Source organism: Homo sapiens, chromosome 3, assembly GCF_000001405.40.
Source record: "Homo sapiens chromosome 3, GRCh38.p14 Primary Assembly".
Classification (NCBI taxonomy): Eukaryota; Metazoa; Chordata; class Mammalia; order Primates; family Hominidae; genus Homo; species Homo sapiens.
The window spans coordinates 197,710,370-197,726,245 of NC_000003.12; the positions used below are offsets into that span (position 1 = coordinate 197,710,370).

Consider the following 15,876-nt stretch of genomic DNA (forward strand, 5'->3'; position numbering starts at 1 on the left):
GCGGGTGGATCACCTGAGGTCAGGAGTTCAAGACCAGCCTGACCAACATGGTGAAACCCCATCTCTACTAAAAATACAAAATTAGCTGGGCATGGTGGCACATGCCTGTAATCCCAGCTATTTGGGAGGCTGAGGCAGGAGAATCGCTTGAACCCCAGAGTCAGAGGCTGCGGTGAGCTGGGATTGTGCCATTGCACTCCAGCCTGGGTAACGAGTGAAACTCCATCTCAAAAAAAAAAAAAAAGAAAGAAATGTCAACAGACAAACTAGGAAAAAATATTTGCAACTCCCATTACAAAGGACTAATTTCCTCAATAAATAAAGAATATCTATAAATCAGTAGGAAAAGACTAAATCTACTGAAAATAGGAATAAAATAGGAAAAAGTTCACAGGGAAAAAAATTCAATGACACTTATAATATCTTTTCATGCTAAGAGAAGTGTAATCTTTTACTTTTTTTTTTTTGAGATGGAGTCTTGCTCTGTCGCCCAGGCTGGAATGCAGTTGTGTGATCTTGGCTCACTGCAAACTCTGCCTCCTGCCTCCTGGGTTCAAGTGATTCTCCTGCCTCAGCCTCCCAAGCAGCTGGGACTACAGGCACATGCCACTAAGCCCAGCTAATTTTTGTATTGTTAGTAGAGACAGGGTTTCACCATATTGGCCAGGCTGGTCTCAAACTCCTGACCTCGTGATCCACCTGCCTTGGCCTCCCAAAGTACTGGGATTACAGGCGTGAGCCACCACGCCTGGCCTCTGGTGAGGATATTTATATACATAACTTCCTGGAGAGTAATTTAGCAATAGCTATCAAAATATCAAATGCACATGCCCTTTAAGAATTCTAGGAATTTATCCTACGGTAAAGGGCAAAATTATTTATACACAAGCACTGTTACTAATAGCAAATGATTGGAAACAATCTAAATATCCATTCACCAGGGGACTGGCTAAATAAGTGATGGTACATACGTACAATGGAATATTATAAAATGACAGCTGTAAGAAAGAATGAAGAAGCTCTCTATGTAATGATTTCGGATGAATTACAAAACATATTAAGTGAAAAAGGCAAGATACAGAATAGTTACTACAGTATGCTATTATTTATATTTAAAAACTTGCAGGTATAGCAAAGAAAATCATTGGTAATTGCTTTTATAAGCATAAAAATTCTCTGGAAGGGCTGGGCATGGTGGCTCATGCCTGTAATCCCAGCACCTTGGGAGCCAAGCTGGGAGGCTGCCTGAGGCCAGGAGCTTGAGACCAGCCTGGGCAACATAGTGAGACCCTGTCTTTAAAAAAAATTTTTAATTAAAAAAAAAAATTCTCTGTAAGGAAACTAGTAAATGGTAGTTTTTTATGTGATCAGAAGGGAGCAAGACTTTTCACTGTATAGTTTTATACTTTTTTGATTATCTAGCTACGTAAAATACAGTGTTCAAAAATTAAATATTTTTCAAGTTATAGAGTGATATATATAGTACAACCTTAATGTTTTTTTTAAAACACATAAATACATAGAAAAAAGCAGAAAATATACCTCAATGTTAGAGTGGTGACTATCGCTTGGTGTTGGGATTATGGGTGATATTTACTTTCTTCTAAAGTCTTTTAGGTATTTTCTGAATTTTCAACAAAGAAAATATATTACCTACATTACATATTCAGAAAAAAACCACAGAGGTCTTTTTTTCATTATTGATTTTTTTTTAATTGGACCATCTATGCTGCCAAGAACTAGTTTCTTCTTGATTGTGGCAAAAGGAGGAATCCTTTCACTTCTCCTATTCAGCTGAGCAATCTCAGGGGCTAAATGTCTCCACATTTCTAAGCAACAGAAAAGAGGCTATCAAATATGCCTTGCCTTCTGGAAGGACTAAAAAGGTAGCCCAGATGCAGCTGTCAAGAAAAATGAGATCCCTCTAAGAATACGATCATGATGTTACAGCTTTCCTAAGGCCCTGAGTGAATTTTTAAAAATACAATTCACATTCCATAACGCATCCTCCTGAGAGCCCAGAGGGGACATGAGCAGCATGAATCACTGTATCAGCCCCTCCTCCTGACGAGGGCACAACACCCAGAATAGCTCGGTGATGACGCAGCAGCCTGAAACCTTTGAAAGCCCTCATCTTTCAGAGGGAGGAAATGAAAGCGAAAAACAAGTTCTTGACGCAGACTTTAATTCTCAGATCTTTACCAGGCAGAACAGAGCAGCAAGGAAACCGGCACGGATCTTTTGATTCTTCCCACTAGAGCCTGCAGTTGCTAAATGTGTGTGTGTCCATATGACAAATCTGCCTGATTAGCTCTGCTTCTGATTACTAACACTACTGGGGTTCTCAGGATAGGAGGCATGTAAAAAAGGAGAGAGAAAAGATAAAATAAAAACAAATAAAAAAATTAAAAATACTACTGCTATTTTGCAGATGATCATATGCTTTGATATTTTTCATTCTGATGACCAGATACTTTCACAGATATTATCACTTTTTTTTTTTTTCTGAGATGGAGTTTCGCTCTTGTCACCCAGGCTGGAGTGCAATGGTGCAATCTCAGCTCACTGCAACCTCCACCTCCCAGGTTCAAGCGATTCTCCTGCCTCAGCCTCCCGAGTAGCTGGGATTACAGGCATGCACCACCACGCCCGGCTAATTTTGTATTTTCAGTAGAGATGGGGTTTCACCATGTTGGTCAGGCTGGTCGTAAACTTCTGACCTCAGGTGATCTGCCCGCCTCAGTCTCCCAAAGCGCTGGGATTACAGGCATGAGCCACTGTGCCTAGCCAGATATTATCACTCTTAATAACTATAACAAGATATGTGAATAGTGTTTTGCATTTATCAAGCAGCTTTCATTTGAGATTCTCATTGATTTGACTTCCATTTCTCTTTCAGGCACAGATAGTGAAACTGTCTTGTAATATGGTTAAGTGATTACTCTAGATGACAGTTTAATATTAGTAACAGGGCCAAGAGAAGAACCCATTTGCTATTAGGACACAAGTACCTGACCCATTGAGTGGCAGTGCCACTCATCTGGTAGCTATTTTGGTCAGCAGCCTGGGAAACTTGCACTGAGTTTCTGTAAAACACACTGGCAGGATTCCCAAGTTTCTGACTTGGGAGACTGAGCAGGTCAATGCCACAAATAGGAAGAAGGGCAATCTCATGAGAGAACATAAGTTTAGTTTTGGTAATGTTGTGCTCGGGCCTGAAAGACAGCCAGACAGTAAGGTACAGGAGACAGCTAATCTTCTGGATTTAGAGTTCAGCAGAGAGGTGAACCTGCTGAACCCTGAGGTGGGGGTCATCAATGGGTGAGTGATCGTGCAATGTGAGCAGATGAAACTGCTTCAGGAAAATACACAGAGTAAGAAGAGAGAAGGGCATACGGCAGAACTGCATTAAAAAAAATTCCAGGCCAGGCACGGTGGCTCATGCCTGTAATCCCAGCACTTTGGGAGGCTGAGGTGGGCGAATCATGAGCTCAGGAGTTCAAGACCATCCTGGCTAACACGGTGAAACCCTGTCTCTACTAAAAATACAAAAAAAAATTAGCCGGGCGTGGTGGCGGGCGCTGTAGTCCCAGCTACTCGGGAGGCTGAGGCAGGAGAATGGCGTAAACCCGGGAGGCAGAGCTTGCAGTGAGCTGAGATCACGCCACTGCACTCCAGCCTGGGCGACAGAGCGAGACTCTGTATCAAAAAAAAAAGAGAATACAAAGACAAAAGAGTTATATAATTTGCCCAGCACCACTCAGTTAATGGTGAAGCTGAGATTAAAATGTGAGCAGTCTGATTCAAAAGTCCGTAATTTTAACTGCTACGTCACTTTATTTCCCATGGATGTGAGCAATGAGTCTAGATTCTGATCTAGGTTCTAACTGACTCCAAAGACTTTTGTCAGTCTATGATACAATGTTGCCTCCTCAGTCCTAGGATGGTGCTTTTTGCTGTTTTGGGTTTGCTTTTTTTGTTGAGACAGGGTCTCCCTCTAGGCTGCAGTGGCACAATCATAGCTCACTGGAGCCTCAACCTCCCAGGCTTAAGCAATCTTCCCAGCTCAGCCTCCGGAGTAGCTGAGTCTACAGGCATGCACCACCATGGCTGGCTAAGTTTTTAAATTTTTTACAGAGATAGGGATCTTGCTGTGTTGCCCAGGCTGGTCTTGTATTCCTGGCCTCAAATTTCTAGTGATCTTCCTGCCTCAACTTCCCGAAGTGCTAGAATTATAGGCATGAACCACCACGCGCAGCCAAGTATACACACTTTAATACCAATTAGTTGATTAGCTCTTTTCCAATGTGATTACTGGCTGAGAATAAATTCTGATAAAAAAGCAAGATGAGCTTAGAGTTCCAGGTAGTTATACGAGGCCCTGACAGGGGATGACATGAGCGAGAACACACAATTATGCCTGTATTTGTGAGGTCTGATTTTTTTTTTAAATAGGAGGATACTAAACCCCAGTGACTCACTTGACAACTTTATCCAGAACCAAAATGTATTTAAAACACTGCAAATGGAGTAACTGCCAAAGAGAAAGCAGAAACCTTTAAGAATTATTGGATTCTACTCATTTCAAAACTCAAAGCTGATTATAGAGTTTTTGAGGATATAAAGAAAAAGAAACTCGGCTAGGCGCAGTGGCTCACGCCTGTCATCCCAGCACTTTGGGAGGTCGAGGCAGGCGGATCATCTGAGGTCAGGAGTTCGAGACCAGCCTGACCAACATGGAGAAACCCTATCTCTACTAAAAACACAAAACTGGCTGGGCGTGGTGGTGCATGACTGTAATCCCAGCTACTCGGGAGGCTGAGGCAGGAGAATCGCTTGAACCCGGGAGGCAGAGGCTGTGGTGAGCCGAGATCGTGCCACTGCAACACAGCCTGGGCAACAAGAGCGAAACTCTATCTTGAAAAAAAAAAAAAAAGAAAAAGAAAAAGAAACTCAACATTAATAAAGTTTATATTTTAAAAATTTAAGCTACAATCAAACTACCATTCATAAGCGTCAACAAGGTATCTATAAAGTAAAACTCAAAGGGTATTCTAAATATGACAATATTTTATAAATAGTTCTCGGATTGTCCTAGGATGCTAGGAGGAAAATTTAATGAGTCATTGTGTCCTCCTCCTCTTCCTCCTCATCATAGCACATACTAGGAGAGCTCTTCCTATTCTCTTAATGCTTTACATACCACACCAACCCTAGAGGTAGACAGATGCTACCTCATTTCACTGGTGAGGAAACTAAGGCACAAAGAGGTTAAGTATTTTGCCCAAGGTTACACAGCTAACACATGAAGGAGCTGAAAACTGAATCCAGGCAGTCTGGCTCTACCCTGAGCCACAGTACCTATTAACTACTCGTGTCGTAGCTAACATGAGTTAACTACTAACTCTTCTTTTCCCTAGTCACTTTTATGCCTGCTAGTTTTCACAGATACTTTGAGGATAAAGTCTCACTATCCTTACAAAGAAAGCACATTAATTCTTTCTTCCCATTATTAATTTGAAGTAAAGATAGTAATAACAAAAGTCTAAATTTAGGGAACAAGATGAAAATTCTAATTCAAAAAGAATCACAGGAAGAGCTGATTATTTTGTCTCAGGAAAGAGACGTTGATTCTAATTACACGAATCTTATCAAGCCTAAGCAATTAATTATCACTAGAACACACTGGCTTCTAGACAAAAGGATTTCCCACAGGGAAGTACTTTTAATGTCACTGAGCACATGGAGTTTCATCTTTTCATTCTTTTGTTGTTGTGAGATACAGTCTCACCCTGTCGCTCAGGCTGGAGCGCGGTGGCACGGTCTCAGCTCACTGCAGCCTCCGCCTCCCAGGTTCAAGTGATTCTCCTGCCTCAGCCACCTGAGTAGCTGGGATTACAGGTGCGCGCCACCACGCCCGGCTAATTTTTGTAATTTTAGTAGATACAGAGTTTCACCATGTTGGCCAGGCTGGTCTTAAACTGATCTCAAGTGATCTGCCCCACTTGGTCTACCAAAGTGCTGGGATTACAGGCGTGAGCCACTGTGCCTGGCCACCTTCTCATTCTGTAGAAACATTTCATGCATGAAAGTCAGAAATAAGTGAACATATTTTTGCCTTGGCTGTTTTTCTTCCTTTATCCTACCTACTTCTGAAAAAAACCAGCATGGTTTTAAAACCAAAACTAAGATTCAGAAGGAAAAGCTTCCTGGCTGTGGTTGGCTAAGACTGGTCCTCCAAGATGTCTACATTCTAATTCCTAGAACCTGGGAATGTTGCCTTTTATGACAAAAGTGACTTTGCAGGTGTGATTAAATTAAGGATTTTGAGATGGGGCGATTATACTGGATTGTCCATGTGGGCCCAGTATAATTGTAAGAGTCCTTAAGAGGGAGGTAGGAATGGTCATAAGGAGGGGGGTAGGCAGGAATGGTCCATAAGGAGAGAAAGGGATGTGAAAGCAGAGAGGGCTGGGCACGGTGGCTCATGTCTATAATCTCAGCACTTTGGGAGGCTAAGGCAGGAGGGTCACTTGAGACCAAGAATTCAATACCAGCCTGGGCAACATGGTGAAATCCTGTCTCTACAAAAAACACAAAAATTAGCCAGGTGTGGTTGCATGTGCCCGTAGCCCTAGCTACTTGGGAGGCTGAGGTGGAAGGATTGCTTGAACCCGGGAGGTCGAGGCTGCAGCGAGCCATGATTTTGTCATTGCATTCCAGCCTGGGTGACAGAGCGAGACCCCGTCTCAAAACACAAACAAACAAACAAAGGGGGCAGAGAGCTGGGTGCGGTGGCTCACGCCTGTAATCCCAGCACTTTGGGAGGCCAAGGTGGGCAGATCACAAGGTCAGGAGATTGAGACCACTGAGACCATCCTGGCTAACACGGTGAAACCCCGTCTCTACTAAAAAATAGAAAAAATTAGCCGGGCCTGGTGGCGGGCGCCTGTAGTCCCAGCTACTCGGGAGGCTGAGCCAGGAGAATGCTGTGAACCCGGGAGGCGGAGCTTGCAGTGAGCCAAGATCGCACCACCGCACTCCAGCCTGGGTGACAGAGCGAGACTCCGTCTCAAAAAAAAAAAGGGGGGGGCAGAGAGAGATTTGAAGGTGCTATGCTGTTGGCTCTCAAGATGGAGGAAGTGGCCAAGAGCCAAAGAATGCAGGAAACCTAGAGAAGCTGGAAAAGGCAAGGAAGTAGATTCTCTGTGGAGCGTCCAGAGGGTGTGTGGCCCTGCAGACACCTTGGTTTCAGCCCCGTGAAACTCATTTTGGACTTCGATCTCAAGAACTGTAAGATGATAAATCTGTGTTGTTTTAAGCCATTTAGTTTGTAGTTACTTGTTACAGCAACAATAGGAAAGTTTTAAGTTGACCTAATCTTTTGTTGCTGATTTGCTGTCCTACCCAGTGATTTATTCATTCCATTAACATCTATGGTCCATCAGACACGATGTGAAACGTTCTGTATATTAAAAAAATGAATTAAGTCACAGCTGCTCTCAGGAGTCCACAGACCAGTGGCCTTCATCTCCTCCCTGCCAATGCGACTGTTTCTTTTCAACAAGCGAGTCAGCCAATCTGGCAAAAAAAGGAGTTCTGCATACCTGGTCACGGATAAGCCCGTGATAGAGGATGCTCTGCATGTCCCTGCAAAGCCGCTCCAAGCCACCATACTTAGACCAGACGTTGGGGCTGTTGGTTGATACCAAACCCTCCACCGTCGTCTTCAAATTACCCAGCAACTGCCAGTGCTCCCTCCTGCAAGGGCATCAGTTACACCAATCGTTAGTTACCTTTGCTGTACTTGATCCTGATCATATCAAAGAAAGTCTAAGCCGAGGAGCCTCCTGCCCCACATCCTAACATTCTCTCCCCTCTTAATTTTTACTTGGGCACAAAACTCAACTCTGAGAGAATTAAAGTTGTGAACAATACTAATTTAAAGACAAAAAACAAACAGCAAAAACCCTCACATTCAAATGGTAGATTATGCTTTGTAAAGGGATTTTCATCTACTATCTCACTCAATCCTCACATAAGCAGCTTATAACCCTAACTTTATAGGGGTATAACCCATTCAGATCCATTTTTATTTTTTGAGACACTTAACTCTGTCACCCAGGCTGAAGTGTGGTGGCATGATCACAGCTCACTGTAGCCTCAACCTCCCAGGTAGAGGTGATCCTCCCACCTCAACCTCCCGAGTAGCTGGGAACTACAGATGTGCACCAACACACCCAGATAATTTTTAAATTTTTTGTAGAGATGGGGTCTCACTATGCTGCCCAACTCCTGGCCTCAAGTGATCCTCCCACCTCGGCCTCCCAGAGAGCTGGGATTACAGATGTAATCCACTGCACTCAGCCTAAGATCCATTTCTTAACAATGACAGTACCTGCACAATATACAAAAAGATGAAGGCATCCACACAGAACCAGACATCTTTTGCCAAACAAAAAAGGCCAAAAACAACTTCTTATTTCCTATATTTCCAAGCGCTAACTACAGCATCGTGAAGGACAGAAACTGTAGGACTAAGGCGGTCACTAAAATGTCATTTATGATTATACCGTAAGAAACGGCCATCGCAGAGGCCAATGGACTGCCAACTTTTGCCCAGTGACTCTGCATATCCTATGCCTCTTCCTCAGAGCAAACTAGCCTCTGATTTCTTAGTGACACAGTTTTCCCATGTGCCAACAGGTTACAATCCGGTCTCATAGGCCTGAGAATCAGTCTGACTCATGACGTGACTCTGCATACCTGTGTTCTGATTCATTCTGTACTGATCTTACAAGGTTAACTGTTAAAGAACATCATGAGGCTGGACGCAGTGGCTCACACCTGTAATCCCAGCAATTTGGGAGGCTGAGGCGGGTGGATCACCTGAGGTCAGGAGCTAGAAACCAGCCTGGCCAACATGGTGAAAACCCATCTCTACCAAAAAATACAAAAATTAGCCAGGCGTGGTGGCACATGCCTGTAATCCCAGCTACTCGGGAGACTGAGACAGGAGAATCGCTTGAACCTGGGAAGTGGAGGTTGCAGTGAGCTGAGATCATGCCATTGCACTCCAGCCTGGGCAACAAGTGTGAGATTGTCTCAAAAAAAAAAAAAAAAAAAAAAGAACATGATAAATCCCAAAAGCAAACATTAAGTACTCTATCATCCTAGGGCTTTGATTCCAAAATTACACAAAGAGCATTGACATCTTAGAAACTTTGAGCATTCAGATCTACCTATAATTTCCTCTGGACAAAGCTGAAGAATTTCCCTTCCTCACAATGAAGTGTCCCTAAGGTGCCAAAGCTACAAAAGAATGTGGCTTTTATTCTAAGATACACCAAACAATCTATATTTGGTATCTGCTCATGTAGAAGAAAACTTCTGTAAAAAATTGATTTACATAGCTACCGTATTTAGTGTCACCTTTTTAAAAAATTTTGATTGATACATAATTGTACATATTGATAGTATACAATGGATATATTGTGCATTGATCGCAACAAAGTAATTAGCATATCCATCACCTTAAATATTTATCATTTCCCTGTGATGAGAACATTCAAAAACCTCTCTTCCAGCTATTCTGAACTACACCATACACTGCTGTTAACCCTCGTCATCTTACTGTGCACCAGAATGTACTCCTTCTGTCTAACTGTCTGTCCCCTTGGCCCTGTTGACCGATCTCTCTCCATGCCCTTCTCCCGCCTTACTGTGCAACAGAGCACCAGAACGTACTCCTCCTGCCTAACTACAACCATGTACCTGTTGACCAATCTCTCTCCATGCCCTTCTCCCTCCTACCCTCCTCATCCTCTGGCAACCACTATTCCACTCTCTACCTCCATGAGAACAACTTTTTAGATTACCGAGTAATAGCATGTGACAGCTGTCTTTCTGTGCCTGGCTTATTGCCCTTAAGGTAACATCCTCCAGGTTCACCCATGTTGCCAAAACTGAAAGAATTAAGGTTGAAGTGTATTCCATAGTGTATACACACCCCATTATCTTTAGCCATTAATCTGTTGACGGACATTTTTTTTTTTTAAGACAGACTCTCACTCTGTCGCCCAGGCTGGAGTGCAGTGGCATAATCTTGGCTCACTGCAACCTCTGCCTCCCAGGTTCAAGCGATTCTCCTGCCTCAGCCTCCCGTGTAGCTGGGACTACAGGCGCAGGCTACCATGTCTGGCTAATTTTTGTATTTTTAGTTAGATGGGGTTTCTCCATGATGGCCAGACTGGTCTCAAACTCCTGGGCTCACATGATCTGTGCACCTCGGCCTCCCAAAGTGCTGGGATTACAGGAGTGAGCCACCGCGCCTGGCTGTTGATGGACATTTAAGTTGATTTCATACCTTGGCTATCATGAATAGCACTGCAATAAATAGAGGAGTGCAGGTATCGCTTTGATACACCGATTGTGTTTCCCCTGGATATATACTCAGTATTGGGATTGCTTGATCACACAGTAGTTCTATTTTTAACTTTTTGAGGAACCTCCAGACTGTGTCGCATAATGGCTGTACTAACTTACATTCCCACCAGCAGCGTGTAAGGGTTCCCTTTTCTCCCCATCCTCACCGACACCGGCTATCTTCTGATTTTTTTTTAATGTGCAGCGATTAGATTTGGTTTGCTAGTATTTTGTGAAGGATTTCTGTAGCTATACTCATCGGGGGTACTAGCCTGTAGTTTTTCCTCTTGTGCCCCTCTGTAGCTTTGGTATCATGATAATGTTGGCCTTGTAGAATGAGTTTGGAGGAATTCTCTCTCCTTCGATTTTGTGGAATAATTTGGGAAGAATTGGTATTAGTTCTTCCTTGAAGTTGTGGTAGAATTCGGCAGTGACAACATCGGGCCCTGGGCTTCTCTTTGATAGGAGACTCATTACCGATTCCATCTCATTACTCATTATTGGTGTGTCCAGGTTTTCTGTTTTGTCATGATTCAGTGTCGGTAAGCTGTATGTGTCCACAAATTTCTTCACTTCTTCTAGGTTTTCCAATTTGTTGGCACAGTTACCCATAACAGCCTCTAGTGATTCTTCATAGTTCTGTGCTGTCAGTTGCAATGTCTCCTTTTTCTCTCTGATTTTATTTATTTGAGTCTTTTTTCCCCCTTGGTCTAGCTAAAGGTTTGTTAATTTTATCTTCTGAAACAAACAACTCTTTTGTTAATCTTTTATATATATATTTTTTCATTCTCTATTTCATTTATTTCTGCTCTGATCTTTATTATTTCTTTCCTTCTACTAATTCTGGGTTTGGTTTGTCCTGGTTTTCTAGTTTCTTGAGGTGCAACATTAGGTTGAGCTCTTTCTACTTTTTGATATAGATGTTAATTGCTATTTTCTTCCCTCTTAGTACTACTTTTGCAGTATCCCACTGTTTTTGGTATGTTGTGTTTCCACTGTCATTTGTCTCAATAAATTTTCTAATTCCTTCTTAATTCTTCATTGACCAACTGGTTGTTCAGGAGCATGTTGTTTAATTTCCACATATTTGTATAGTTTCCTAAGTTGTTCTTGTTATTGATTTCTAGTTGTATTGCACTGTAGTCACAAAAGATACTTGAATGGCCGGGTGCGGTGGCTCATGCCTGTAATCCCAGCACTTTGGGAGTCCGAGGTGGGCGGATCACTTGAGGTCAGGAGGTCAAGACCAGCCTGGTCAACATGGCGAAACCCCATCTCTACTAAAAATACAAAAAAAAATTAGCCAGGTGTGGTGGTGCGTGCATGTAATCCCAGCTACACAGGAGGCTGAGGCAGGAGAATTGCTTGAACCCAGGAGGCAAAGGTGGAGCTGGGATTGCACCACTGCACTCCAGCCTGGGTGACAGAGTGAGACCCCATTTCAAAAAAAAAAAGAAAGAAAAAAGAAAAAATACTTGGTATGATTTCAGTTTTTAAAAGTTTGTTGAGACCTGTTTTGTGGCCTACCATATGATATCATATATCCTGGAGATGGTTCCATGTGCTGCTGAGAAGAATGTGTATCCTGCAGCTATTGAGTAGAATGTTCTGTAGATGTCTGTTAGGTCCATTTAGTCTAGGATATAGTTTAACACTGCTGTTTCTTTGTTGATTTTCTGTCTGCATGATCTGTCCATTGCTGAAAGTGGGGTATCAGAGTTTTCGACTGTTACTGTATCAGACTTTCTCTCCCCATCTAGGTCTACTAATATTCACTTTACATATTTAAGGTGCTCCCATGTTGGATGCATGCATGCATATATACAGGCATCCAACATGGGAGCACCTTAATATATAAACACACACACACACACAACTGTTATATCCTTTTGCTGAATTGACTCTTTATCATTACATAATGATATTGACTCTTTTCACAACTTTGGATTTGAAGTCTATTTTCTCTGATATAAGTATAGCTACTCCTGCTGTCTTTTGGTTTCCATTTGCATAGAGCATCTTTTTCCATCCCTTTAAGTCTATGTATGTCCTCACATGTGAAGTGAGATTCTTGGAAGCAGCATACGGTTGGGGCTTATTTGGAAGGTTTTTAAAAATTCATTGAGTCACTGTCTTTTATTTGGAGAATTTAACCCATTTACATTTAAGGTAATTATCGATAAGTAAGGTCTGTTACTTGTTTTCTAGTTTTTTTACAGTTCCTTTCTTTCTGTTACTGTCTTCTGTTGTGGCACTTGATTTTCTCTAGTAGTGTGCTTTGATTCCTTGCTTTTCAATTTTGGTGTGTCATAGGTTTTTGCTTTGTAGTCAGCATGAGGCTTACAAAACACATTTTGTAGTTATAAAAAGTTATTTTATTTATTTTTAATTTTCTTTTTTTTCTTGAGACATAGTCTCACTCTCACCCAGGCAGGACTGCAGTAGCATGATCTCAGCTCACTGCAACCACCATCTCCTGGGTTCACCCGATTCTCGTGCCTCAGCCTCCTGAGTAGTTGGAATTAGAGTTACAGGCACCTGCCACCACACCCAGCTAATATTTGTATTTTTAGTAGAGACGGGGTTTCACTATGTTGGCCAGGCCAGTCTCAAACTCTTGACCTCAAGTGACCTGCCCACCTCAGCCTCCCAAAGTGCTGGGATTACAGGTGTGAGCCACCATGCCAGGCCCATAAAAAGTTATTTTAAACTGACAGTGACTTAAGTTTGATCATAAAGATAGGAAAAGGAAGAAACAAACAAAACCTATACTTTAACTCCATTCCTCCCCAAATCTGGAATTTTTGAAGTCCCATTTTACATATTTTTATATTGCCTATCTCTTTAGTGTCTTCATCTTTTTAGGATCGTTTATCCTAATGATATAATTATCAATATCAGAGAGTTGAAATACTAAATTCAACTGAAGCTCATACACACTGGTTTGATTAAACCATTATGCCTGAATCTTAGATGCAAGTAAACAGATCACAATGGAGAAATAAAATATCCTTTCCCAGCCAGGCGCAGTGGCTCACGCCTGTAATCCCAGCACTTTGAGGGGCTGAGGCAGGCAGATCACCTGAGGTCAGGAGTTCGAGACCAACCTGACCAACATGGAAAAACCCCGTTCTCTACTAAAAAAATATAAAAATTAGCCAGGCGTGGTGGCACATGCCTGTAATCCCAGCTACTCGAGAGGCTGAGGCAGGAGAATTGCTTGAACCTGGGGGGCGGCCTAAGTGGCAAGGGAGAGTATAACCCATCCCTACATAAATCATTTTCATCAACTCACAACGAAGCCAATCTCAGAATAAAATACCAACTACCTTCTTCTGGGAGGATCTTGACCACATCCCTCCTTTAAAGAGGAACAGAAATTGCTTAAGTGACCCAAATAAGTATATCTGGGGAAAACCAGTTTTCCTAGATGCCAACTCAGTCTTAAGCTCACCATGTTATAATAAGTATGTTATAATAAGTAACACTCAAGATTAAAGTAAAAAGCTACAAAACTCTGTAAAGTATTACACTATATAACTAATACATAACTAAAACATAATCACTAAAAACATGACATGTGAGTATCTTATATGTGATATATATGAAATATATAATAAATAGTAAATAAGTGAAAGTACTATGCAATTGCAAAGTGTGATTCAAGGTAAGAAATAGATACTGGTCTATCTTCAATCCCCAAATACTCTTTTTAGTGGTAAAGGAAACAGCTTCAGCTTACTGGCATGTCCCTTCCACAGTGAGCTCTTTATCTGGGACAGGCCCATGGATCACAGCTGAAAGTCAGGTTGTCCCAAGTCAGGTAATGATTTGATCCCCAAAGTGGAGGAAGAAAGATGTGACATCCACATGATGGAATACCATGAAGAATGAAAACTTTTGACCAAAAAGTTTCTAAAGCTAATTATAGCATATTAAAGTATAAAAAGCAGAATGTAAAATTAGATTTACGATCTCAACATAAAAATATGAAAAGAAATAATACGTTAATAGTGGTTACCTTTAGTAATATGGGGGAACTGTAGAGAAGAGCAGAATTGTTTAGGGCTTTCCTGAGACTAGCGATTAATAGAGGATCAGTAGACTGGGTGTGGTGGCTCACGCCTGTAACCCCAGCACTTTGGGAGGCTGAGGCAGGTGCATTGCTTGAGCTCAGGAGTTCAAGACCAGCCTGGCCAACATGCAAAATCTCGTCTCTACAAAAAAACTAAAAAAATCCCTCCCCACAAAGAAAGGATCAATAATCTGAACAAACCAGAAGCTGGAAAGTACCATAAAGGATTTTTAAAATACTCAGTATCAAGGGCTTCGAAGTTGGAAGACTGTGGTCAGGCAAGTGTCCCTGGGACTTTTAATGCCAGAAAGTACTTCCTGGAAAGAGGTAATGGGTTCCTCCTTCAGGTAGAAAAAATATAATTAAGTGAAATAATTATTGGTAACACTGAGGTAGCGAGAGACTATCACATGTGTGTTTAATGTTTCTTCTTATCTGGCCATATATTTGCTGTTTTTAATTATCTAGTATTTAACTTGCAGGCTGTGTAGTTGAATGTGCTCCTTTTTACATAAATAATATGCTTTAAATAAATAACATGCTTATAGGAAAAACATACTTGACTCTCTTATATAGTCTCTCAGCTCTGGGGCACCTGGGAGAATGTAACCATCGGCCAGTCCCATACATTTCATGGCTGACAGGAGAATCTTTTTTTTTTTTTTTTTTTTTTTGTAGAGACCAGAGTCTTACTATGTTGCTGAGATTGGTCTCAAACTCTTGGGCTCAAGCAACCATCTGCCTCGGCCTCCTAAAGTGCTAGGATTACAGACGTGAGCCACTGCACGCAGCCAAAGGAGAATCTTAATGTACAGGAGGGAATAAGCAGTACCTGTAGGTATGCTTTGTAATTCGACACCTATTTAACACCTGAGTAACATCAAATGCATTGAATTTCAACAATCAGTGGATTTAACATACGGATGAAAAATCCCTTATGTCAGAAACCTAACCACCAACAAACTCCTTAGCATGGAGGTGAAAAATTCTCCATCATTGGCCCCAATCTAAATACCAACTTTGCTGCCCAGTACTCCTCAGGTTAGGTACGGGGACCTCATCACACACTATTACAAACATGCCAACCTCACTCTACTGCCATGATCTTATTCATGCAGAGCTCTCCACCTGGAATGCCTGTTCTCACCCCATTCAGGGATTCAGGTCCAGCTCTAATTCAACTTTCTCTAAAAAGGTTCTAAATAATCTGACCCACTATAGCTCCTTTATTAGAACTCCAAAAGCGTATGATGTCGCTATACCATTCCTTCTAAAAATACTTTAAGACTGTTGTTTAATATTACATAGCTTGTTTCCTGAAGGAAAGGGACTATGTATCTTCTATTTCTTTTGTATTTTATTTTATTTTATTTTTT

General features: G+C 41.8%; 1 protein-coding gene across 9 annotated transcripts in view, besides 6 other annotated features; it reads right to left on the minus strand.

Annotated features, from left to right (window-relative positions):
* Positions 1 to 15,876, minus strand: part of RUBCN (rubicon autophagy regulator) — an 80,954-nt gene that overhangs the window by 41,503 nt on the left and 23,575 nt on the right. For 7 of the 9 annotated variants that reach the window (NM_001145642.5, XM_047449268.1, NM_014687.4 and 4 more), the window contains one exon: positions 7,608 to 7,761. The exons of the other annotated variants lie outside the window; for them this stretch is intronic. In NM_001145642.5, coding sequence (NP_001139114.1) covers positions 7,608 to 7,646 — 39 coding nt within the window. In that variant the 5' untranslated portion in view covers positions 7,647 to 7,761. The remainder of the gene's footprint in view (positions 1 to 7,607; positions 7,762 to 15,876) is intronic. 9 annotated transcript variants of the gene reach the window in all.
* Positions 1,628 to 2,248: an enhancer, noted in NCBI's record as "H3K27ac hESC enhancer chr3:197438868-197439488 (GRCh37/hg19 assembly coordinates)". NCBI's record gives its function as "activates a minimal SCP1, AML or CMV promoter by ChIP-STARR-seq in naive H9 embryonic stem cells {active_cell/tissue: H9 hESC(naive)}" and the evidence as "EXISTENCE:reporter gene assay evidence [ECO:0000049][PMID:30033119]".
* Positions 1,628 to 2,341: a biological region, named in NCBI's record as "Sharpr-MPRA regulatory region 8415".
* Positions 1,969 to 2,263: an enhancer, noted in NCBI's record as "tiled region #8415; HepG2 Activating non-DNase unmatched - State 16:ElonW, and K562 Activating DNase unmatched - State 5:Enh". NCBI's record gives its function as "activates a minimal TATA promoter and a strong SV40 promoter by Sharpr-MPRA in HepG2 and K562 cells {active_cell/tissue: HepG2 | K562}" and the evidence as "EXISTENCE:reporter gene assay evidence [ECO:0000049][PMID:27701403]".
* Positions 1,972 to 2,341: an enhancer, noted in NCBI's record as "active region_21113". NCBI's record gives its function as "activates an Ori minimal core promoter by ATAC-STARR-seq in GM12878 lymphoblastoid cells {active_cell/tissue: GM12878}" and the evidence as "EXISTENCE:reporter gene assay evidence [ECO:0000049][PMID:35858748]".
* Positions 8,589 to 8,883: an enhancer, noted in NCBI's record as "tiled region #6653; HepG2 Activating DNase unmatched - State 9:DNaseU". NCBI's record gives its function as "activates a minimal TATA promoter and a strong SV40 promoter by Sharpr-MPRA in HepG2 cells {active_cell/tissue: HepG2}" and the evidence as "EXISTENCE:reporter gene assay evidence [ECO:0000049][PMID:27701403]".
* Positions 8,589 to 8,883: a silencer, noted in NCBI's record as "tiled region #6653; K562 Repressive non-DNase unmatched - State 16:ElonW". NCBI's record gives its function as "represses a minimal TATA promoter and a strong SV40 promoter by Sharpr-MPRA in K562 cells {active_cell/tissue: K562}" and the evidence as "EXISTENCE:reporter gene assay evidence [ECO:0000049][PMID:27701403]".